A 25,947-nucleotide genomic window follows, 5' to 3' on the forward strand; every position below is an offset into this window, starting at 1 on the left:
TCAATGATTACATGCATTTGTCCCTCCAAGAAAACAAAAGTCCAGTTGAAGGCAGGGCTCAGTGGCTCACGCCTGTAATGCCCAGCACTTTGGGAGGCCGAGGCGGGCAGATCACTTGAGGTCAGGAGTTTGAGACCAGCCCCGCCAACATGGTGAAACTCCTTCTCTACTAAAAACACAAATATTAGCCAGGCGGGGTGGCGCGCGCCTATAATCCCAGCTACTCGGGAGGCTGAGGCAGGAGAATCGCTTGAGTCTGGGAGGCGGAAGTTGCAGTGAGCCGAGACTGCACCACTGCATTTCAGCCTGGGTGATAGAGTGAGACTCCTTCTCAAAAAAAAAAAAAGTCCAAGTGAAACGGTCCCCTGCCTGCTGTGGCTTGTGTCATGGCCATAGGAAGCTGAGGTCCAACTCTCCATCCTGACTCCCCTTCTCTGGGAGCCTTTGTCCTCAACACGTATCTCTTCATGTCCTTATTCATTTTAAAAAGGGAATTCACTCTAAGAATCTTCTGAGAAGTTGCCGGCCCCACTCTGAGCCAGCTCTGGGTCCTTGGATGTCTGATAAGTGGTGGGCGAACCTCTCCCGTAAACAGGGGCTAGGAAGGAGGGGGTGGGATGGGGCCACTACACTTAGGAGGTGGGGTCCCCAGGCCCCTCCAGCTCGGGGAGGCCCTAGGCCTTTTGGTGGCGTTCTTTTAGGATTTTCACGTCTTGCAGCCCCGTGGACTGCAAGGTAGAGCATGGGCCACTCTATTTAGCCAGTCGCACTGAGGTCTGGCACCTCCTCGGTCCCCATCCCCTCCGTCCCCACCACCGCTCACCCCTCCAGGGTGGTGGGGACTCGGCTAGGCCTGGAGGGCGGCCTGGAGGAGGCAGACGGCCTGCGCGTGCCTCCGTGTGCGTGCTCACCCTGGCAAAGCTGAGCTCCTCGGCGGCGTCCTTCATGATACTCCCAGTCCGCACCCTATCGAACGCCCGCACGCCCACCTCCTGCTCCTCCGGCCACTCTAGCGCGGCCAGGTCAAGCCCGCTGGCCTGGGAGAAGTGCTGCACGTGCGTGGCGATGCCCTGCACCTGGCCGTCCACACGCTTGAGCTGCTTGCTCAGGTCCTCCACCTGGCCGCCCAGGTCCTTCACTTGGCTCTCCAGCGCTGACGAAGGCGCCTGGCCCACGCCCCTGCGCTTCTCCCGGGGCGCCCCCTTGGGCACCTCCTTGGGCGCGGGCAGGTGCGGGATGCTGAACGAGCTCCGGACGGACTGCAGCGAGCGGCTGGGCTCGGGCGACGAGGGCTGGAAGTCGATCCGGGTATTTTGGAGGTCGAGGTTCTTGAGCATGGCCACGATGAGCGTGTGCAGGGCCGTGAAGTTGACGGCGCCCACCTCTGGCGTGCCGATGGAGAGGTCCGCCAGCTCCCGGAGGGAGACCGTGGTCGCGGGCGGCATCGTGGCTGTCAGGAGCTGTGCGCCGCCGCGGGGCGCCGGCCAACCACTTCCCGCTCACTGCACGCCGCGCCTTGGGGCCTTTCGGGGGCCCTGCGAGGTCCTCGGGGCGCCCCTGCCCCGGGTCCGGCCGAGTCACTGGACAGAGCTCCTGCCTCCAGGGAATCTGCGCCTCCGCTCCCCGGCGGGGTCCGCGATGGCCACCCCTCCGCTGTCTGTCGCTGGCCTCGGGTCCCCGAGCTGGAGCCCTGGACTCCCAGTCCCCGCGCCGGCGGACGTTTGAAACGTGGGGGCCCCCGCGTGCCCTGAAGATTCCACGTAACAACACGCCTCCCTGCGAGCCACGGGGGCGGGGGGAAGTAAAGGCCACCACAAGGATCACAAGGGGAGCCTTGGCAACGGGCTGAGGAGGCCTCCTAAGATCCAGCTAGACTCCATCCATCCCCTTAACCTAGAAAGGCCAGGATTCACTCACTCTTGGCGGGGCCACATAAGGAAAGACTTGAGGGTTTCCTGGCAACCATGCTTTGTGTCATCAGCTGCGTCCATTCCAGAGTGGTGGCCCCATGTCTATGGCCCCATGTCTAAGGGATGCAGTCCTGGGGCCCTGGTCCCCTCAGACAGTCCACATATTTTGTTCAATCAAAGGTGAAGCAACTTGGAAAAGACAACCCACTCACTATTCAGGCAGTTCCAATTAGCCACTAGATGACTAACTGGTGGCTAATTGTCCCTTTTCTGTGCTGCCATAATTTTTTTTTTACTTTTGAGAGGGAGTCTTGCTCTGTCGCCCAGGCTGTAGTGCAATGGCACGATCTCGGCTCACTGCAACCTCTGCCTCCCGGGTTGACATGATTCTCCTGCCTCAGCCTCCCGAGTAGCTGGGATTACAGATGCGTGGTACCATGCCCGGCTAATTTTTTGTATTTTTAGCAGAGACGGGGTTTCACTATGTTGGCCAGGCTGGTCTTGAACTCCCGACCTCAAGTGATCGACCCACCTCGGCCTCCCAAAGTGCTGGGATTACAGGTGTAAGCCACCGCGCCCAGCCTGCCATAAATTAATTGATCTCAAAAAAACGGCCAGGCTTGGTGGCTCACACCTGTAATCCCAGCACTTTGGGAGGCCGAGGCGGGTGGATCACCTGAGGTAAGGGGTTCAAGGCCAGCCTAGCCAACATAGTGAAACCCCTCTGCTAAAAATACAAAAAATTAGCCGGGCATGGTACCGCGCATCTGTAATCCCAGCTACTCGGGAGGCTGAGGCAGGAGAATCGCGTCAACCCGGGAGGCAGAGGTTGCAGTGAGCCAAGATCGCACCACTGCACCCCAGCCTGGGCGACAGTGCAAGACTCTGTCTCAAAAAAAAAAAAAAAGAAAAGAAAAGAAACCACTCACCTGGTCAAGCGCCTGTGCTTGAGCTCATTACAAAGCAGGATTAAACAGCACGAGACAAATCTGGTGTTAACAATTGAGACATGACTTCCCCATACAAGATTCTTCCCAAAAACGTATAAATAAAACTTCCTAACAGAAGCACAGCAAGGCTACTTAAAGAGAACCTATGAATGTGTGCCATGCATGGCCAGCCTCCTCCGTGAGCTCTGCATCTGCAGATTTAACCAACCACGACTGAACACGTACAGATTCCTGTCATGATTCTCTAAATAATACAGCATGACCACCATCTACACAGGATATTGCAGTAGGTATTACAAGTCATCCAGGATGTGCATAGCTTATATGCAGATACTACACCATTTTCTATCAGGGACTTGCACATCCATGGGCAGGAGGTTGAGTCCTGGAACCAATCACCCATGGATTGTAAGGAATAACTGTACTATTTTAACTACTGTTCAAGTTCAGATTTTTCACTTCAGCCTGAGAGGTACTGTTTATTTAATTGAAGGATTTTCGATCATCATTATATTCCAATAACTTGGGACACAGTAGGCCTTTAAGGGGTTATCAAAATAACTAGTTCTTTGCAGTCTTTTTTTTTTTTTGAGATGGAATCTTGCTCTGTCACTTGGGCTGGAGTGCAGTGGCACAATCTCAGCTCACTGCAATCTCTGCCTCTTGGGTTCAACCAATTAATTCTCCTGCCTCAGCCTCCCGAGTAGCTGGGATTACAGGCGTGCACCCCCTCCCCCAACACCCGGCTAATTTTTGTATTTTTAGTAGGGACAGGGTTTCACCATATTGGCCAGGCTGGTCTCAAACTCCTGACCTCAAGTGATCTGCCCACCTCGGCCTCCCAAAGTGCTGGGATTACAGGCGTGAGCCATGATGCCTGGCCTCTTTGTAGTCTTTTTATGCTTTTAACTTAGCTAGGCTAATTTTTGTATTTTTAGTAGAGACGGGGTTTTGCCATGTTGGCCAGGCTGGTCTCAAACTCCTGACCTCAGGTGATCTACCTGCCTCGGCCTCCCAAAGTGCAGGGATTACAGGCATAAGACACGATCCCTGGCCTGTTTTTTTTTTTTGAGACAGGGTGTTGCTCTGTCACCCAGGATGGATGGCAGTGGTACAATCATAGTTCACTGCAGCTTCAACCTCCTTGGCTCAGGCAATCCTCCCACCTCAGCCTCCCAAGGTAGCTGGAACTACAGGCACATGCTACCAATGCCTGGCTAATTTTTGTATTTTTTGTAGACATGGGGGTTTCGCCATGTTTCCCAGGCTGGTCTGAAACTCCTGGGCTCAAGCAATCCTCCTTGCCTCAGCCTCCCAAAGTACTCAGATTATAGGTGTGAGCCACCACACCTAGACTTTTTTTTTTTTTTTTTAAAGATTTAAAATACAGTATTCAACAAGGATTTAGCTTCAACACTTAGGAAGAGGGTGGAACCTGGGAAAGTGTTTGTGTCCAGCCACAGACCTGACTGCTGTTCTGTATCCATGGTCTTCTGCTGTCTAATGAAAAGACTAGCAAGACAACAAATTATTTTATTTGCAACTTCAGAGCCACTCAGATACCCAGAGGTGGGATGCTATTTTCTAATCTGACATCCTTGGAAGATGTAACAACATGAATGCTTCATTTTTCAATGGCTGTAGGCATAACAATTTCTGAAAGAAAAATACGATTCTCTATAAAAGACTTGAAGTTGATTTGGGAGAGGCCAACTGGATAGTAATAGGGCCACAGGCGCTCAGCTTCCCTAACCAGGTTCAACATCAATACCTCCATTTCCCTGGAGCTGAAACAACTAAATGAACATTATAGAGTTAAGACTTTATGTGCCTTTAACTCCTCTTTAGTATCAATAAGATTTTCAGATTATTTTTAAGAAAGCAGCTAGAACTTTTAAGGAACAGGGCTGATGACAGCAGACATGTAAGGCCATGTTATGATATTTATCCATTAGCTCTGTCTTCTTCCTGACTCTTTTAATCCCTCCTCCCCATCAATCCGGGCAAAAGAAGATATCTAACTCCAGGCTGTTTCGAGTCCTCCCTTGCAAGGAAACACTGTATCACTCATGGCACTGCTTTTTCCATGTTTCCCTCAGGAGGTCCAGGGTCGAGACCCTCGTGAAAGCTAGTCATCCACAGTGATGTTTCGGAAAAGGTAGGCCATGGACTCTCCATTGTGGATTCTCCGAATGGCTTCAGAAAGAATCAAACTGATATCCACAGTCTTTATCTTGGGACATTGCAGCTTCTGAACCTCATGAGGGACAGTATTCGTCACCACCACCTAGTCACACAGTGATGGAAAACAAACGCTGTTACTGAAGTCTGTTCTCCAAGCTGGTTACACAGAAAAGCTTATCTAACATTGAGTTCCCACAGCCTAAGTTCCAAACTACAAAACCTTGTTCCACCGAGTATAGTTTTTATAAACCAAAATTAACTAATTTTATGCAAAGGAAAAGTTACATGGCCTCAGAACACAAGACAAAAATCTTAGGAATGGCATGGTCTCCATGCAGAAACACAGTGAGCCCCAGTGCTATGCAAAACTCTCAGATCATAAGGGAAGAATTCCAGCCTCAAGAGAAATGCTCCTAGGGTGTCAAATTAAAGTACCCAAGCAAACCGTTATGCAAATAGACATATACAGACCCTCAACATAACTCTCAACTTATGACAGGGTTATGTCTGGATAAACGCATCATTATAAGTTGAAAATATTTTAAGTAGAAAATGCATTTAGGCCGGGCACAGTGGCTCATGCTTGTAATCCTAGCACTTTGGGAGGCCGAGGCAGGTGGATCACCTGAGGTCAGGAGTTTGAGACCAGCCTGGCCAACATGGTGAAACCCCGTTTCTAAGAAAAACACAAAAATTAGGCCTGGTGGCCGGCGCGTGTAATCCCAGTTACTTGGGAGACTGAGACAGGAGAATCGTTTGAACCCGGGAGGCAGAGGTTGCAGTGAGCCGAGATTGCCACACTGCACTCCCAGCCTAGGCAACAGAGCAAGATTCCATCTCAAAAAAAAAAAAAAGCATTTAATACGCCTAACCTACTAAACATCATTAACTTGGCCTAGCCCTACCTTAAACATGCCCAGAACAGTTACATTAGACTGCAGGTGGCAAAATCATCTAGGGCAAAGGCTTTCATTTTATAATAAAAGCGATTATTTTAAAATAAAGTGTCTCAAGTAATTTATCGAATACTATACATTACATCGTAATTGCAATGGTTTTGCATCATCATAAAGTCAAAAACTTCTAAGTTGAACCATGGTAAGTCGTGGACTATCTGTATTCCTAAACATGTATCTGTCCCAACGAACTGCTAGCCAGCAAAAGCTAGAAAAGCTATAGACAGATTAAGCAATTTAGTATTGACTGAATCATTTTATTATTCCCAGAAAACACAGCAGTAAATCTTGGCTCAAGATTTAGAAGCAGCCTGACCTCGTCTACGGAGGACTCCTCAATCAGGCGAGGGGCCTCTGCAGACAGGATGCCGTGGGTGGCCATAACATAGATCTTATAGGCGCCTCTCTCTTTCAGGATCTCCGCGGCAGCAACAAAACTCTCCACATCGTCAATAATGTCATCCTGGGAGGAGAACAGAGTGAGTTGGTAGGAAAGAAACACCCTCTAGCCCATACTGTCAATGCACACACCACTCTACTCTCTTCTGCACTCAGTTTCAGAGGATTTCTGATGGAAAATCAGAGCTGTGTGCCTGGGTCAAAGAACGAGCATCCAGAAATGGCAACAGAAGCACCTGACAGTACCTTGTGTGTCTGTCAGAGGCGGGCGCAGTCAAGCACCTGTGACATTACGGCTGGAGCTGAGGATTGCCAACACTCATTTTCCTGTCTCACGTTTCTGGTGAATCCCACATAGCCAGCGTTCCATTTATTTTTTTTTCAAATAGACTGTGACATGAGAAGAAAACTGAAATAAAGTGTGCTACTGCAAAGGACTCATGACCCACTAGCCAGCAGATATTTAGAGCTGGGAAAAAAAGTATGTCAACATGCAGAACGAGTCTGCACGGGGACACCCATTCTTACTTGTGAAAACGGAACAGCTCATCTTCAGTTCATCTTTCGGCCCTAACGCTCAAGCATGATTAGGTGAGCTGGTTTAAAGAACCTAGAATCCACATGATGAAGGTGAAGGTGCTGAATTTTCTCACGGGAGTACTGTGCTCATTTCCTATCTGTAGGTTATACTTTAATGTATGTTCACCTGGATACAGGTTTCTGCCACTTGGCACAAGGGAGTTTGGGTGAGAAAGGATACATGGATCCATTCGGATCATCGTTCCTAGAAATACAGTCCCAGAGTGGACAACCTACTGACCAAGAGCCAGGAGTGCCACCTCTGCACATGGATGACATATAACCATACCACGATGATTGCGATGCGGCCTCCAACATCTCCAACTACAGTTATCGGTGGCTTCTCTTTGGCCATCATCACTAGCAAAACAAAACAAATTACAAGATCTCAGTCATTCATGTATCACTAGAGAAATGTAATCACAACCTAATTCCCTGGAAATGGTGGCAAAACCACTATACAGACAAAAAACAAACAAACCATGCAAATTCCCCCTCAATGAACCTGCAATCTCTCAGAAACAGCAGCATTGGCCAAAAGAAATAGAAGGCATGCCATACATGTTACTTTGAATTTTCTAGTAGCCACATTAAAAACAGATGAAATTAATACATTTTATTTTATGCAATTCCCAAAATATTATAATTTCAACATGTAACTGATATAAAAATGTATGTATGTATGTATGTATGTATGTATTTTTTGAGACGGAGTTTTGCTCTTGTTGCCCAGGCTGGAGTGCAATGACGCGATCTTGGCTCACTGCAACCTCCGCCTCCCAGGTTCAAGCAATTCTGCCTCAGCCTCCCGAGTAGCTGGGATTATAGGCATGCGCCACCACACCCAGCTGAGTTTTGTATTTTTAGTAGAGATGGGGTTTCTCCACGTTGGTCAGGCTGGTCTCGAACTCCTGACCTCAGGTGATCCACCCGCCTCAGCCTCCCAAAGTGCTGGGATTACAAGCTTGAGCCACCACGCCCAACCTGATATAAAAATTAATGAGATGTTTTACACTTTTTTTTCTCAGAGGGGATCTTGCTATGTTGCCCCGGCTCATTTCAAACTGGAAGCAAACAATCCTCCTACCTCAGCCTCCCAAAGTGCTAGGATTATAGGCATGAGCCACCGCACCCAGCCTTACACTTTTTTCCTATCAAGTCTTCTCTACTTGGTGTGTGTTTTATACGCACAGCACTTCTCAGTTGAGACGGGCCGTGTCTCATGAGCTCAGCAGCCAGCACATTGCACTGCACAGCACAGCTGGAAAGACAACGAACCAGCAGAGCATGGAAGATTCTGCCAACACGGAGAAGCTGCACCGCAGTGCTGTGTGGATAGAAACCCCACTCTCACAGAGACTGACAGAGACATGCAGAAGGAATGCCGCTCTGCAGAAAGCGAAACAGCGAAAGGCTGCCAGATCATGAGATGGCTTTATGTTATTTTCTTCCAAAGTCACCTTATTTGGACAGTGTAACCTTACTATCAGATAACTGCACTACTGACATAATCAGAGTTTCCTCAAAATCAGGAACTTGAAGACAATAACTCCAGGCCCATCATCTTTTCCTGATTTAATTGGTGCTTAAAGTAGAGACTTTTATCTGACTGCAAAATCTGCATCTGAAGAAAGGCTATGAGTGTACAAAGGAAACTACAGGATAAAGAAAGGAAATAAGATTTTATCCTCAAAAGGAGGTTAGTAAACAGAGAAGAAAAACAAAGACTACTTCAGAAGAACAGGCTAAGTATTCTTTCTTTAAACTTTGTTATTATTCTGAAATATTTATTAGGCTAGTAGTGGGGGAAGCGAAAGAGAATAAAATTCAGGGTAACAAGAGTTTAGTGACTACCAACAAACAATTTTTGCAGATTCCCAACAGGCACTGTGTATCTCAAAGAACAGGTGTTTTTCTCTGTATACTGGCAAATCAGTTGAGCTGAAATTCACCACTACTTTATACATTTCAACAAACATATATTTCCTGATTTCACATCCTAGAAACAAAGACAACTTCTTGAATTTGGGCAAGACAAGAAGGCTTTGCATATAAAATCACTTAAAATGGGGGGAGGGGGGTTTCAAACCACCAACATTAGGAGCAGCTTCCTGAGATTCTGTTTTTAAATTAAACCATGTAAACACGCAGTTATGTTGACCTATCCGCTTTTTTTTTTTTTTTTTTTTTTTTTTTTTCTTGAGACAGAGTCTCACTCTGTCTCCCAGGCTGGAGTGCAGTGGCACGATCTCGGCTCACTGCAACCTCTGCCTCCTGGGCTCAAGCGATTCTCCTGCTTCAGCCTCCTAAGTAGCTGGGATTACAGGCACGTGCCACCACATCTGGCTAATTTTTTGTATTTTTAGCAGAGGTGGGGTTTCACCACGTTGGCCAGGCCACCTTTGAGAGGCCAAGGCAGGCGGATCACCTGAGGTCAGGAGTTCAAGACCAGCCTGGCCAACATGGTGAAACTCTGTCTCTACTAAAAATATAAAAATTAGCCAGGCATGGTGGCACACGCCTGTAATCCTAGCTACTCAGGAGACTGAAACAAGACTTGCTTGAACCCAGGAGGCAAAGGTTGCAGTGAATTGAGATCGCACCACTGCACACCAGCCTGGGCAACAGAGTGAGACTCCGTCTAAAAAAAAAAAAAAAAAGAAAAAAAAAAAGAAAGATTGCAAGCCAATACCTCTCATCAAATATCAATGGAAATTCAGCTCTAGTTTGATGCGGAAAACATCACAGTATATTTGTTTACTTTTTTGCAACCCTACCTCCCACAAAGAACTACTGTTAGTTTCGCATGAAAAACCTAGGCTCTGCTAGGAGGGAGGCTAAAAAAGGCTAAAATGAAAGCCTTTCTGCCCAATATACTCATTCCCTGCTGATACTGCCTTTAGGTTCTGAATAAAAGTGAACACATAATCTGGTGGCTGCCACAAAACAGAGACAGACTTTATTATTACAGGGTAGAAAAAAATGACTAGTACCTCACAGGCCAACAGTTTTTGAATAGCTTACCCAAAAAATAAAACACTAAAAATTCCAGTTTTCATACAAGGTCAAGAATAGAGTGCTAAAACTACCCTAAGTTTAGATTCTGCTCTCTCTTTCCATTTTATCAAACAAAATCTAATCCATGAATAAAATGAATTGTGCAACATTACTTGCGGCCAGAAATCACTGTGAAAACTACATCAGCTGCAGTGAAAATGTTTCCAATTCATCAAACGATTTCCAATGCTCTTATGAAGGATGTAGGAAGTTGTCTTTTGCTTTTAAAGGTAGCCTTTTCCAAGTAAAATAAAGCTGCACTGACAACCCTCCTTACCTTACGCACGCTTCCATCACAAGTACAAGCACCTGCACACATGTGCACACATTTACTCTTTCCTGGGAGCCAATTAACCAAACCTTCCTCTGCTAAAGTAAACAGCAAAAAAGAACTATGAGAAAATTCATTCCTTACCCATTTTGACCTTTGTCTATTTCTAGTTCAATGAAATGTCAAACCATATCAACAAACTGACATTAAAAAGAGATGAGTGGCTGGGCATGATGGCTCACGCCTGTGATCCCAGCACTTTGGCAGATCACCTGAGGTCAGGAGTTGAAGACCAGCCTGGCCAACATGGCAAAACCCCTTCTCTACTAAAAATATAAAAATTAGCCAGGCGTGGTGGTACATGCCTGTAATCTCAGCTACTTGGGAGGCTGAGGCAGGAGAATTGCTTGGGCCCGGGAGGTGGAGGTTGCAGTGAACCGACATCATGCCACTGCACTCCAGCCTGGCCGACAGAGCAAGACTGTCTCAAAGAAAAGAAAGAAAAAAAAAAATCAACAGTCAGGCATGGTGGCTCATGCCCATAATCCCAGCTACTTGGGAGGCTGAGGCAGGAGAATTGCTTGAACCCGGGAGGTGGAGGATGCAGTGGGCTGAGATCGCCCACTGCACTCTAGCCTGGGTGACAGAACGAGACTCCATCTCAGAAAAATAAATAAATAAATTAGATGAGTAAATAAAATGAGGTCTTCTGTAGAACAGAAATGAACTGATTTCAAGCTCATAACCCCTATCTGCATGCAAACAAATCAAAATTTACATTTAACATGCTCAAGAGGTGCCAATGTCTGTTTTCACTTCAGTGGTGAAAACCACATCTTCACTCGTGAAATTAAGAAGCCAGGAAAAGCGAGCCAGAAAAAGTGACCTCCTCTCACTTTTGTGATCCAAACTCTTACTTTTCACCCCTGTGGCAAATGTAGTCTTCTTCAGCAGAACCCCCAACATATAATCTTTTCAAGTTTGTTAGATGCCCTTGCCCATCATCTGTATCAAGTCTACCTATAAGATGGAAAAGATTTAAGGTTTCACTCCTTCATTCATACAACTTCTCTTTTAACAAATTACTCTAAAATGAGCTTCTCAGCCTTAGCACTACTGACATTTTGGACTGGGTGATTATCACACTGCAGGATGCTAAGCAGCATCCTGGCCTTTACCTACAAGATGCCAGCAGCACCCCAGCTCCCATGGTTGTGACAACCACAAACATCTCCAGACATTGCCAAATATTCACTGTGAGGCAAAACTCACCCATGGGCAAGAAGTAGTGCTCTAAAGAATGGGTTTGGCCAGGTGCGGTGGCTCATGCCTGTAATTCCAGCACTTTTAGAGGCCAAGGTGGGTGGATCACGAGGTCAGGAGTTAGAGACCAGCCTGGCCAAGATGGTGAAACCCCATCTCTACTAAAAATACAAAAAAATTAGCTGGGGGTGGTGTCAAGCACCTGTAATCCCAGCTACTCGGGAGGCTGAGGCAGGAGAATCGCTTGAACCTGGGAGGCGGAGGTGGCAGTGAGCTGGGATCGCACCACTGCACTCTAGTCTGGGTGACAGCAAGACTCTATCTGAAAAAACAAGAATAGATTTGAGGAAAATAAAATAGTTCATCTTCCTAAAAAATGCAAAGAGTCCAAGGTTGAATATTTATTCTGTCATAACCATTCTAAGATCTTAATCTTCTTTACCAACCAACGAACCACTGGCACACATTGGATAACTGACACACAGATGTGAGGCATATTTAATTTGGGAGGTGCAATTTATTACATATACAAGAAATAATTTTTTCAGAATTTTCTTGGCTAAGCCTATTAAAGAGAGTCACAGAAAGCAATGTGATGATAACTGTGAAAGTTGCAATGTAAACATACCACTATGTCTAGAAGTAATGCACTCTTTTCCTATGACACACAAAGATGACTGCCGGGGAAACCATGGTTATGACCGTTAAGCAACAAAGCAACATCCTCAGAATAAATAATCTCACCACATAAAATACTCTGATAATACAACATCTATCAAAATAACCTCTGACCCAGTAATTTTATTTCTCGGTCTTTTTTTATTTTTATTTTTTTGAGATGGAGTCTCACTCTGTTGCTCAGGCTGGAGTGCAGTGGCGTGATCTCAGCTCACTGCAACCTCCGCCTCCCAGGTTCAAGCGATTCTCCTGCCTCAGCCTCCCAAGTAGCTGGGATTACAGATGTGTGCCACCAGGCCTGGCTAATTTTTGTATTTTTAGTAGAGACGGGGTTTCACCATGTTTGTCAGGCTGGTCTCGAACTCCTGACCTCGTGATCTGCCTGCCTCGGCCTCCCAAAGTGCTGGAATTATAGGCATGAGCCACCACGCCTGGCCTATTTCTCGGTCTTTATCCCACAACATACTCAGCTGCTTACAAAAGGACATTAAATCAAGGTAACTCACAGGTAGTGACGTGTGGTAACTGAGCATGTCCACCCTGAGCCCAAATCTTGGTTTCTAAATACCATTCTCAGCTGGTCTGATGCTAATGGGTTATCAATACTTATTAATATTAGTGTCACTAAAAAGTTGGCATACAATCCAGCACTGCTAAATCTGACCGATTTATTTTATTTTTTTTTCTAGACGGAGTCTTGCTCTGTCACCCACGCTGGAATGCAGTGGCACCATCTTGGCTCACTGCAACCTCCGCCTCCCGGGTTCAAGCCATTCTCCTGCCTCAGCCTCCTGAGTAGTTGGGATTACAGGTGCCCGCCACCATGCTCGGCTAATTTTTGTAATTTTAGTAGAGACGGGGTTTCACCGTGTTGGCCAGGCTGACCTCGTGATTCGCCCTCCTTGGCCTCCCAAAGTGCTGGGATTACAGGCGTGAGCCACCGTGCCTGGCCTGACTGATTTTTAAAAATAAATAAATACCATTCTCCACTAAAGGTATAAGGGCTCCTTGGAGAAATGGCCAAGTACAGTGCTAAGAAAGCACAAGATGAACACGGGGCGTGGTTATAGCACAAAAGTAAGGGAGTCTCCAAAAGTGTTGGGGACATGCCAAAAGAACACAGGAGGCAGCTGCAAGGAGCTCTCTCTGGCCAAATATGAGACAAACTGAGCATTAAAATAAATGTAGGCTGGGCATGGTGGCTCACATCTGTAATCCCAGCACTTTGGGAGGCCAAGGCAGGCGGATCACTTGAGGTCAGGAGATGGAGACCAGTCTGGCCAACATGGCGAAACCCTGTCTCTACTAAAAAAGCAAAAATTAGCCGGGTGTGGTGGTGCATGCCTGTAATCCCAGAAACTTGAGAGAACGAGCCACGAGAATCACTTGAAACTGGAAAGCAAAGGTTGCAGTGAGCTGAGATAGTGCCAGTGCACTCCAGCCTGGGTGAGACAAGAAAGAAAGAAAAGAAAGAAAGAAAGAAAAGAAAGAAAGAAAGAAAAGAAAGGAAGGGAGGAAGGGAAGAAGGGAGGGAGGGAGGGAGGAAGGAAGGAAGAAAAAGGAAGAAAGGCAGGCATACTTCATTTTATTGCACTTTGCTTTATGTTGCTTTGCAGATAATGCTTTTTTTTTTTTTTTTTTTGAGATGGAGTCTCCCTTTGTTGCCCAGGTTGGAGTGCAGTGGCACGATCTCAGTTCACTCCAACCTCTGCCTCCCAGGTTCAAGTGATTTTCCTGACTCAGCCTACCAAGTAGCTGGGACTACAGGCACACACCACCACGTCCAGCTAATTTTTTTTTTTTTTTGTATTTCTAGTAGAGACAGGGTTTCACCATGTTGGCCAGGCTGGTCTCGAACTCCTGACCTCAGCTGATGCACCCACCTCGGCCTCCCAAAGTGCTAGATTACCAGATAATAAAATTTTTACAGATTGAAGTTTGTGGCAACCCTGTGTCAAGCAAGTCTATGGGAGCCATTTTTCTCTCTTTTTTTTTTTTAAAGACAGGGTCTTGCTCTATAACCCAGGCTGGAGTGCAGTGGTGCGATCTCGGCTCACTGCAACCTCTGCCTCCTGGACTCAAGGGAACCTCCCATCTCAGCCTCCTGAACAGCTGGGACCACAGGTGCATGCCACACCTGGCTAATTTTTTGTATTTTTTTTTGTAGAGACAAGGTTTCACCATGTTGCCCAGGCTAGTCTCGAACTCCTGGGCTCAACTGATCCTGGCACTTTGGCCTCCCAAAGTGTTGGGACTACAGGCATGAGCCACCGTGCCCAGCCAGGGTGCCATTTTTCTAACAGCATGTGCTCGTTTCATGTTTCTGTGTCACATTTTGGTAATTCTTGCAATATTTCCACTTTTCTCATTATTGTTACGTCTTTTCTGGTATCTGTAATCAGTGATCTTGGATGTTACTATTCCAATTGTTTTGGGGCAGCATGAACCATGCTCATATAAGATAGCAAACTGGCTGGATGCAGTGGTGGCTCACACATGTAATCCCAGCACTTTGGGAGGCCGAGGCAGGTGGATCATGAGGTCAGGAGTTCAAGACCAGCCTGACCAACATGGTGAAACCCCGTCGTTACTAAAAATACAAAAATTAGCTGGGTGTGGTGAAGCATGCTACTCAGGGGCTGAGGCAGGAGAATTACTTGGACCCGGGAGGCGGAGGTTGCAGTGAGCCGAGAGCCAGAGTGAAACTCTGTCACACACACACACACGCACAAAAAAAAAGACAGCAAACTTAGTAAATGTGTATTCTGACTGCTCCACTGACCTGCTGTTCCCGTCTCTTCCTCTTGTTGGACCTCCCTATTCCCTGAGACACAATATATTGAAATTAGGCCAATAACCCTACAATGGCCTCTAAGTGTTTAAGTGAAAGGAAGAGCCCCATGTCTCTTACTTTAAATCAAAAGCTAGAAATAATTAAGCTTAGTGTGTCAAAAGCCAAAAGCTACACCTCTTTAGTCAAACAGCCAGGCTGTGAATGCAAAGGAAAAGTTCATGAAGGACATTAAAAATGTGACTCCAGGGAACACACAAATGATGAGAAAATAAAACAGCCTTATTACTGATACAGAGAAGTTTGAGTGATCTGGATAGATCAAACCAGACACAAAATAAAATTCCCTTAAGCCAAAGCCTAATCCAGAGCAAGGCTTTTTCATGAAGTTTAAGGAAAGAAGCCGTTTCCGTGACCTAAGAGTGCAAGGTGAAGCAGTAAGTGCTCATGTAGAAGCTGCAATAAGTTACTCCGAAGATCTAACTAAGATAATTGATAAAAGTTCAAACAATATCAAACAACAGGCCGGGCGCAGTAGTTCACACCTGTAATCCCAGCACTTTGGGAGGCTGAGGCAGTTAGATCATTTGAGGTCAGGAGTTCGTGACCAGCCCGACCAACATGGTGAAACCTCATCTCTACTAAAAATACTAAATTAGCCAGGCGTGGTGGTGTACGCCTGTAATCCCAGCTACTCGGGAAGCTGAGGCAGGAGAATCGCTTGAACCCAGGAGGTGAAGATTGCACTAAGCCGAGATCGTGCCATTGCACTCCAGCCTGGGCGACAGAGCAAGACTCCATCTCAAAAAAATATATTTATCAAACAACAGTCTTTCGACAGCTCTGATGGAGATACACAAGGAGATTAGTGATGTTTTCATGCCCGCTAATACAACATCCATTCTGCAGCCCATTGAACAAGGAGTAATTTCAACTTCCAAGTCTTATTATTAAGAGTAATAACAATAAGGTGATCCTCCCACCTCACCCTCCCAAACTGTCAAGAATACAGGCTGAGGCGGGAGGATTACTTGAGCCAATGAATTTGATACCAGCCTGGACAACAAGACAAGACCCTGTCTCTACTAAAAATTTCTAAAAATTAGCTGGGTGCTTGGGCACAGTGGCTCATACCTCTAATCCTAGCACTTCGGGAGGCCAAGATGGGTTGACTGCTTGAGCCCAGGAGTTCATGACCAGCCTGGGCAACATGGCAAAACTCCGTCTCCACAAAAAATACAAAAATTAGTCAGGTGTGGTGGCACGTACCTGTGGTCCCAGCTTCCAAGCTACTCAGGAGGCTGAGGTGGGAGGATCACCTGAGCCCAGGTGGTAGAGGCTGCAGTGAGCAGTGATCGCACCACTGCACTGCAGGTCTGGGTGAGAGAGGGAGATCCTGTCACTGTACTCCAGCCTGGACAGCAGACAGAGACCCCGCCTCTAAAATAAAATAAAAAGAAATACATTTGGCTGGGCGTGGTGGCTCACACCTATAATCCCAGCACTTTGGGAGGCTGAAGCACGCAGATCACCTGAGGTCAGGAGTTTGAGATCAGCCTGGCCAACATGGTGAAACCCTGTCTCTATTAAAAATACAAAAATTAGCTGGGCGTGGTGGTGCACACCTGCAATCCCAGAAACTCGAGAGAATGAGGCACGAGAATCACCTGAACCTGGAAAGCAGAGGTTGCACTGAGCCGAGATTGCGCCACTGCACTCCAGCCTGGGTGACAGAGCAAGACTCTGTATCAAAAAAAAAAAAGAAATACATTTTATAAGACTATAGATGCCATAGATAGTGATTCCTCTGAAGGACCCAAAGTAAACTGAAAATCTCTGGAAAGGATGCACCATTCTAGATGCCATGAAGAACACGCGTGATTCATGGGAGGAGGCCAAAATATCAACATTAACAGGAGTTTGGAAGAAGTTGATTCTAACCCTCATGGATGACTCTGAGGAGTTCAGGGCCTCCATGGTAGAAGTAACTGCAGATGTGGTGGAAAGAGCAAAAGAACTAGAATTAGAACTGGAACCTGAAGCTGTGACTGGGCTGCTTCAATCTTATGATAAAACTGTAATGGATAAGGAGTTGCTTTGATAGATAAGCAAAGAAGGTTTTTTGTTTTTTTTTTTGAGATGAATCTACTGCTGAAGATGCTGTGAACTCTGCTGAAATGAAAACAAGGATTTAGAAGTATTACAAAAATTATTTGATAACACAGTGGCAGGGTTTGAGAACAGTGACTACAATTTTGAAAGTAGTTCTTTCGGCTGGGCGCAGTGGCTCACGCCTGTAATCCCAGCACTTTTGGAGGCCGAGGCGGGCAGATCACCTGAGGTCAGGAGTTCGAGACCAGCGTGGCTGACATGGTAAAACCCTGTCTCTACTAATAATACAAAAATTAGGCGGGTGTGGTGGCACACATCTGTAATCCCAGCTACTCGGGAAGCTGAGGCAGAATTGCTTGGACCCAGGAGGCAGAAGTTGCAGGGAGCCGAGATGGTGCCACTGCACTCCAGCCTGGGCAACAGAGTGAGACTGTCTCAAAAAAAAAAAAAAAGAAAGTAGTTCTTTCTTCTAGGTAAAATGCTATCAAACAGATCATTTTGTAGTTCATAAGTGTGATCATTGGGTGTTCACGCTTACATGTGAGATGTGCCATCCTTGAACCTTGTTAGAACATCAGTACATCACCTGGCTGACATTTTAAAAAATGCTGTCAGCCGGGCGCAGTGGCTCACGCCTGTAATCCCAGCACTTTGGGAGGCTAAGGCGGGTGGATCATCTGAGGTCAGGAGTTCCAGACCAGCCTGACCAACATGGTGAAACCCTGTCTCTACTAAATACAAAAAAAATTAGCCAGGTGTGGTGATGCATACCTATAATCCCAGCTACTTAGGGAGGCCGAGGCAGGAGAATCACTTAAATCCAGGAGGTGGAAGTTGCAGTGAGCCAAGACTGCACCACTGCACTCCAGCCTGGGCAACAAGAGCGAAAACTCCATCTCAAAAAAAAAAAAGCTATAAAACAGCATTACATGCTACAGAAAGATCTTTTGTGAAAGGAAGAGTCAATCAACGAGGCAAACTTCGTTGTTTTAAGAAATTGCCACAGCTGAGCACAATCACTCTTGCCTGTAATCCCAGCTACTCAGGAGGCTGAGGTATAAAAATTGCCTGAGGCTGGCAGGGTGCAGTGGCTCACTCCTGTAATCCCAGCACTTTGGGAGGCCAAGGCGGGCGGATCATGAGGTCAGGAGATCGAGACCATCCTGGCTAACATGGTGAAACCCCATCTCTACTAAAAATACAAAAAAAAAAAAATTAGCCAGGTGTGGTGGCAGGCACCTGTAGTCCCAGCTACTTGGGAGGCTGCGGCAGGAGAATGGTGTGAACCTGGGGGGTGGAGCTTGCAGTGAACTGGGTGAACCACTGCACTCCAGCCTGGACGACAGAGAGAGACTCGTCTCAAAACAAAAAAAAAAAAAAGAAAAGAAAAATTGCCTGAGGCCAGGAATTCAAGACCAACCTGGGTCCGGGCACAGTGGTTTACGCCTGTAATCCCAGCACTTTGGGAAGCCGAGGCGGGCGGATCATGAGGTCAGGAGATGGAGACCATCCTGGCTAACTCGGTGAAATGCCGTCTCTACTAAAAATACAAAAAATTACCCGGGCGTGGTAGCGGGTGCCTGTAGTCCCAGCTATTCGGGAGGCTGAGGCAGGAGAATGGCGTGAACCCGGGAGGCGGAGCTTGCAGTGAGCTGAGATCGCGCCACTGCACTCCAGCCTGGGCGACAGAGCGAGGAGACTCAGTCTCAAAAAAAAAAAAAAAAAAAAAAAAAAGACCAACCTGGGAAACAGACCCCATCTCTTAAAAAAAAGAAAGAAAAGAAATTTCCACAGCCCATCCCAACTTTCAACAACCACCACCCTGATCAGTCAGCAGCCATCAACATCGAGGCAAGACCCTCCACCAACAAGATGGAGGCTCAGATGACTGCTAATTTTTTTTTTTTTTTTTTGAGACAGAGTCTCGCTCTGTCACCCAGGCTGGAGTGCAGTGGCGCGATTTCAGCTCACTGTAAGCTCCACCTCCATTCTCCTGCCTCCATGCCATTCTCCTGCCTCAGCCACCCGGTAGCTGGGACTACAGGCGCCCGCCACTACGCCCGGCTAATTTTTTGCATTTTTTTAGTAGAGACGCGATTTCACAGTGTTAGTCAGGACGGTCTCGATCTCCTGACCTCGTGATCTGCCCGCCTCAGCCTCCCAAAGTGCTGGGATTACAGGCCTGAGCCATTGCGCCTGGCCAACTGCTAGTATTTTTTAGCAGTAAAGTATTTTTAAATTAAGGTACGTACATTGGTTTTTAGACACAATGATATTGAGCATTTAACAGACTACAGTATAAACATAACTTTTACATGTGCTGGGACATCAAAAAATTCATGAGACTCACTTTATTATAATATTCACCTACTGCAATGGTGCAGAACTGAACCTGCAATATTTAAGGTATTCCTGTGACGACAATGAATTATAACCCACTGAATGAAATAGGCCTATGAATCCATACTGATATAAATGAAGAAATGAATAGGGAAGAAGAGAAAGCTTTCTTGCATTAGAAGGTCAACTAATAAATGTAGAAGGAATGATAGAGTTAGAAAAATGAACACTGACAACAATCACAGTCAATAATTGATTCAGGCAAGAATCATCAGTAGATGTTCATTTTGATGAGAAGCAGAATATTTACAGTTAAAACATAGTCTTAACATGAGGTAGTATTAATTACAAAGAGGAAAAAAAAAAGAGTAACTTTACAGTGGAGAAACCTGCCAGAGAAACCTTAACCAACTTATCAGAATGCACATCACCAGTAATGGGACACATCATGTGTTTCCTGTGATTTTCTGCCAAAAATGCATAACCTGAATCTAATCCTGAGGACACAAACAAGCCCCAATTAAGGGAGAGTCTACAAAATCACTTGATCGCACTGTTCAAAAGTATCAAGGTCATAAGAAACAAAGAATAAAGCAGCCACTCCAGATTAAATGAGACTAAAAAGAAATGACAACTAAATGCAATGTGTGACCCTGGGTTAGGTCTTGAACAAGAAAACAAGTTTATTCTTTTGCTCTAAAGGACACTGCTGGGACCACTGGTGAAACCTGAGTAAGGTCTGTAGATTACAGTGTTACAGCAATGTTAGCTTCCTGAGTCTGATAATGATACTCTGGTTATATAAGAGTCTTTTGTCTTTACAAATATACACGAAGGTATTTAGGAATGAAGGGACATTACGTCTGCAACTCACCCTCAAATGGTGGAAAAAAAAAAACCCCATGTATATAAATGTTAAATTTGGGGACTCCGAGTGAAGAGCATATGCTGGAAATCTGTACTATTCTTTCAACTTTAAGTCTAAAGTCAGTTGAAAATAAAAAGCTAAAAATGCAGATTACGGCTTGGCACGGTGGCTCACACCTGTAATCCCAGCACACTGGGAGGTCGAGGCAGGCGGATGACCTAAGGTTAGCAGCTCGAGACCAGCCTGACCAACATGGTAAAACCCTGTCTCTACTAAAAATACAAAAATTAGCTGGGTGTGGTGGTGTGTGCCTGAAGTCACAGCTACTTGGGAGGCTGAGACAGGAGAACTGCTTGAACCCAAGAGGCGGAGGCTGCAGTGAGCCAAGATCATGCCACTGCACTCCAGCCTGGGCGACAGAACGAGTTCAGTCTCAAACAAAATAAAAATAAATAAAAATAGGCCGGGCACGGTGGCTCACACCTGTAATCCCAGCACTTTGGGAGGCTGAGGCAGGCGGATCACAATGTCAAGAGATCGAGACCATCCTGGCCAACATGGTGAAAGCTCATCTCTACTAAAAATACAAAAATTAGCTCGGCGTGTTGGCGCGCACCTATAGCCCCAGCCACTGGAGAGGCTGAGGCAGGAGAATTGCTTGAACCCGGGAGGAAGAGGTTGCAGTGAGCCAAGATTGCACCACTGCACTCCAGCCTGGCGACAGAGTGAGACTCCATCTCAAAATAAATAAATAAGTAAAAATAAAAGTTACCTGATCCCCAAAGCCTGGTATTTGATCAACAGCTGTCACCCAGCTTATGATAATGTAAAAGCTTAAGATTTCACACCATCACACATACAACTTTTTTACTGAAGCTAAAATTATCAAACACCGTCTGAATGCTGAGTGCTACGCAGAACCGTCCATACACAGTCTACAAATGTGTATAACACAACTTCCTTTTACAAAAGAGGAAATCGGGCCTGGCATGGGGCTCATGTCTGTAATCTTATGTAATCTCGGCATTTTGGGAGACCATGACAGGAGGATTGTTTGAGCAAAGAAGTTCAAAACCAGCCTGGGCAATGCAGGGAGCCCCGTCTCCATACAAAAAGAAAAAAAAAGGAACAGAAAACTATCCAGGCATGGTAGTGTACCCCTACAGTCCCAGCTACCCAGGAGGCGGAGGTGGGAGAATCACTTGCGCCCCGGTCAAGGCTGCAGTGAGCCATGACTGTGCCACTGTACAGAGCAACAGGGGGAGATCCTTTCTCAAAAAAAAAAAAAAAAAGGCGGAGGATAGCAAATACCATTCCATTATTAAAAAACAACAAGACAGCATATATCTACATAGTCGATAACTCCTAGCCATTCATACTACTTAAAACTTTCTTCAGGGCCAGGTGCAGTGGCTCATGCCTGTAATCCCAGCACTCTGGGAGGCTGAGGCGAGCAGATCACCAGGTCTGGAGCAGATCACGAGGTCTGGAGTTTGAGACCAGCCTGGCCAACATGGTGAAACCCTGTCTCTACTAAAAATACAAAAATTAGCTGGGCGTGGTGGCACACACCTGTAATCTTTGCCACTCACGAGGCTGAGGCAGGAGAATTGCTTGAACCCAGGAGGCAGAGGTTGCAGTCAGCCAAGATCACGCCACTGCACTCTAGCCTGGGTGACAGAGTGAGACTCCATCTCAAAAACAAAACAAAACAAAACAAAACAACAACAACAAAACCAACAAAACCAACAAAAAAAAACTTTCTTCAATTTACAAATAAAATAAAAACACAGAGCTCATCTTACATGGCAACTCCAGGCCTGGGTGCACAGTAGCATTTTTGACCATAGGCGGGGAGTGACGACCATCGTCCATGTCCAGTTCCGTGCACTGAGCTTCCCCGTGAATGACGGCCAAACCCAGACGCAGTCTCTCCGCATAGGACTGGGCCCTAGAAGGACAAAGGGAAATGGTGAAACTGACAGGAAGAAATCCCACGCATCACTACGGCATCATTTTTTAACCATAAAATGAAAATATTTAACGTTTCAGGGACATACAAAGGCATTATTTATATAAATGAGAATGTGAGGCCCAGGCCAGCATGTAAATGACTCAAAGGGCACGTGAGTTAGGGTTTGGGATTGTATCTGATTCTAGACATTTTTTTTTTTTTTTGAGACAAGGTCTCACTGTCACCCAGGCTGGAGTGCAGTGGCGTCAACATGGCTCACTGCAGCCTCAACCTCCTGAGGCTCAGGTGATCCTCCCACCTCAACCTCCCGAGTAGCGGGGACCACAGGCATGTGTTGCCACAACTGGCTATTTTTTGTATTTTGTAGAGACGGGGTCTATGTTGCCCAGGCTGGTCTTGAACCCCTGGGCTCAAGCGATCTCCCGCTTTGGCCTCCCAAAGTGCTGGAATTACAGGCGTGAGCCACCCCGCCTGGCCCTGATTCTAGATAATTTTGATTCTATCCTTTGTCCAATATTCTGATAGTCATCTTCAGAAGAAAGAACAACGTTAAAAACCATTGCCTGGGCCGGGCACAGTGGCTTACGCCTGTAAACCCAGCACTTTGGGAGACCAAGGCAGACAGATCACTTGAGGTCAGGAGTTCAAGACTAGTCTGATGAACATGGTGAAACCCCATCTCTACTAAAAATACAAAAAACTAGCCAGGAGTGGTGACAGGCGCCTGTAATCCCAGCTACTGGGGAGGCTGAGGCAGGAGAGCTGCTTGAACCCAGGAGGCGGAGGTTGCAGTGAGCCGAGATCGCGCCATTGCACTCCAGCCTAGGTGACAGAATGAAACTCCATTTCAAAAAAAAAACAAAAAAAAAAACCATTGCTTGAAAAATGCTCATAGCCTCATTGCTTTCCTTTCTCTGAGAACTTGAAGGAACTTTGTTTTCCCAGAGGAAAGCTGAGCAACTCAGCGATCATGTGTGCTGTCTGGAGGCTGGAGATAAAGCTGTGTGTGGCATGGGACATGACAACGATGGAGGGGTTAACATGAGAGCCAGTGGGCTTTCAAAGGCCACGAGTGACAGCCTCTGGATTCCAAAGCAGCTCATTCTGACTTCGGGAGCACTCAGGAGGGATCAGGACCCATGTCTAGCTTACTTACCTCTTTGCAGCATCAGGAGACTTAGCTACAATGACTGCATTTCTGTAATTTGGAATCTAGATTTGAAGGAAAAATAGAAAATACTGAAAAGTTATCAGAAAATAACACCTGGATGCTGGTATTCAAGTTTTCCCTCTTATAATGATCCAAACTAGTCATCAAATATGCTAGAATTTTAGTCACAAGTTTTAGATTTTTCAATATTTATCAATTAACATCACTGGAAAAAGCACTCCTACGTCAAGAATTTTTTAAAAATAATTCTTAAAACATTCATTTTAGAAAACATAAGCAAATTGCTAAAGATACGTAGAAAAAAAATCTGTTTTTAGTGTCTTTTAAAGCTATGATCGTCCACGACTAAAGCTGACCCTGTCTGCTGCCTCAGGCATTGTGACTTAAGGGAGAGCTCATTTGATGTGCCTTCCAGTAACGAAATCTGATACCAGAGAAAAACTAAATAAGATCTCTTTTGAGGACAATGGGGTGTTTGCTGGTGGTTCCTCACTTCTTCCTGGATATACTGAAGCAGGAAAGGTGAGGCTCTAAGGTTGTCCACAGGAAAGCTGAAAAAGCCTTGTATTTCCTTTTGATGAAGATCCATAGTGATAATGTGAGTTAAACCTGAAATTTTAAAACAAAAAATTACAAAGTTCACCCCTACAGGTAAATGGCTACAGTGGACCTAAACTAGATGCTCAACTCCTGCTTCCTACCAGCAGACTGAAGACGGGGTACTGTGATTAAGCACTGCAGTCACAGGCTTGATTGTTAACCTTAATAAAGCCTTAATGTAGAGAAGGCTACAACCTTCCACATGGACAAAGAACTAAAGCTAAGAAAGTGGGAATTATTGACTTTTGGCTTGGTCCAGAAAATTGAGAAAAGAATAATGTGGCAGAAGCAAAAATATGAATATGGAATTAATACCGAAGAGATGGAAAAAACAGTAAGGCCTTGATTACAGAATCTTAAAAGAAAGGATAAAGAACTGTAGCGAAGGCAAAAAGTAGCAAGAACACAAACGCAAAGTAATATACATATTAGAAGAAAAGAAACTCATATAACACAAAGATATTGAAGCTTAGAATAATTTCTGTATGTAACAAAGAATGTTTCAAGTATTCTTATAGAAAAACAATGAAGAGATACTCTTATAATCAAGAGTACTGAAGAGGAAAAGGTACATATATATAAACACATTGCAAATGGTCAAAGGTCACAGCAAAACTTCCAGGGTGTAGAACCAGTATTACTTGTTCTTTCCAGAAACACTATAGTTTTTTGGAGAGGATGAAATTCACATACAGTTGACCATCTGGATCTATGGGTTCCACGTGTGGATTCAACGAAACACAGACTGAAAAGGTAGTTAGGCCTACAATGGTTGTGTCTGTACTGAGCAGGTATGAAACTTTTTTCTCATCATTATTCCCTAAACAAGACAGCATAACAACAATTTATATAGTGTTTATATGGTATTAGGTATTTATAAATAATCTACAGATGACTGTGTTGGTTATATGCAAATACTATGGCATTTTATATGGAAGACTTGAGTATCTTTGGGTTTTTGTATCTGCTGAGGAGCCGGGGAAGCGGGAGATGGGTTCCTGGAACCAATCCTATAAGGACATTGAGGGAGGACCATACATTTCTTTCCGAGGACCCAAATATACGTTAAAGTTTTAGAACAGACATCAGATGAATAGAAACCCAATTGTAAAATATTACATTGATTTACAGGCCAGAAAGCGTGCCCCCGCCACACAAGGAGAATAAAGCAATGAAAATGAGCCACTATGTAGAAAGGCAAGGGTGGGGGAGAGGGAGTAAAAGAAAATCCAGCTTGAATACTATGAACAAAAATGGAATTTAGCTAACAAAGCAGATATAGAAATCTAGACCTGAAGATCAAAAGATCACATAAGAATGCCAAGACTGCCAGCTAAGAATTTAGCGATGACAAGATGAAATAGAAAATATGTGACAGATGACAGAGAAGAGAAGACACTAAAGCAATGGTATTCTAAAGTAGGACAAAGCGAATAAGGGAAAAAAAAGAATTTCTAACCGAGCTCACATATCCTTAGCCAAAACTGTTCAAAAGGAAACAAACACTCAGATCCCAGATTGGATATCTGAGGTATGAGCTAAGTCCAACTAGGAAAGAGCCCTAAAGGATCATGCTGGAACCCCAGGGCCCCCGCGCACACTCACCTGCTTTCGCCAGCATGGATGCTAGCAGCTTGCACACAATGGAACCCCTCTTCCTCATCTTGCTCTGCTTGCTGTAGGGGAAGTAGGGGATGACCCCAATAATGTTCCTGGCACAGGCAGTCTTCAGTGCGTAAGCCATGATGAGCAACTCCATCACAGCTGTATTCACATCTCTGAAACAGTCAAAGTTTGTATTTGGGGATTAATTCCATGTATCAACCCTAGAAAAGATCTTGAC

The 25,947-nt window shown here is 45.6% G+C and overlaps 2 protein-coding genes and 1 non-coding gene across 11 annotated transcripts in view; 1 reads left to right on the forward strand and 2 right to left on the reverse strand.

The window, feature by feature from the left end:
• Nucleotides 1–4,411, reverse strand: part of QRICH2 (glutamine rich 2) — a 36,916-nt gene extending 32,505 nt beyond the window's left edge. For 6 of the 7 annotated variants that reach the window (NR_130649.2, XM_017025207.3, NM_032134.3 and 3 more), the window contains exon 1: nucleotides 912–1,723. Coding sequence is in view for 5 of the 7 variants with exons in the window: in XM_017025207.3 (XP_016880696.1) it covers nucleotides 912–1,445 (534 nt within the window). In the remaining 2 variants the exon portion in view is untranslated. Of the gene's footprint in view, nucleotides 1–911; nucleotides 1,724–4,325 lie in introns of those variants that run through there. The other variant, XM_047436911.1, reaches the window with a different exon arrangement.
• Nucleotides 2,925–25,947, reverse strand: part of PRPSAP1 (phosphoribosyl pyrophosphate synthetase associated protein 1) — a 44,721-nt gene continuing 21,698 nt past the window's right edge. For all 3 annotated transcript variants that reach the window (NM_001366236.2, NM_001330503.2, NM_002766.3), the window contains 7 exons: nucleotides 25,710–25,882; nucleotides 23,998–24,113; nucleotides 23,490–23,545; nucleotides 22,164–22,309; nucleotides 7,268–7,338; nucleotides 6,317–6,463; nucleotides 2,925–5,147 (listed from right to left, as the gene is read on the reverse strand). In NM_001366236.2, coding sequence (NP_001353165.1) covers nucleotides 4,989–5,147; nucleotides 6,317–6,463; nucleotides 7,268–7,338; nucleotides 22,164–22,309; nucleotides 23,490–23,545; nucleotides 23,998–24,113; nucleotides 25,710–25,863 — 849 coding nt within the window. In that variant the 5' untranslated portion in view covers nucleotides 25,864–25,882 and the 3' untranslated portion in view covers nucleotides 2,925–4,988. The remainder of the gene's footprint in view (nucleotides 5,148–6,316; nucleotides 6,464–7,267; nucleotides 7,339–22,163; nucleotides 22,310–23,489; nucleotides 23,546–23,997; nucleotides 24,114–25,709; nucleotides 25,883–25,947) is intronic.
• LOC124904120 (small nucleolar RNA U13) lies at nucleotides 17,643–17,746 on the forward strand. Its single transcript, XR_007065998.1, has one exon. It is a non-coding gene; the product is annotated as a small nucleolar RNA U13 (small nucleolar RNA).

This window comes from Homo sapiens, chromosome 17, assembly GCF_000001405.40.
Source record: "Homo sapiens chromosome 17, GRCh38.p14 Primary Assembly".
Lineage (NCBI taxonomy): Eukaryota > Metazoa > Chordata > Mammalia > Primates > Hominidae > Homo > Homo sapiens.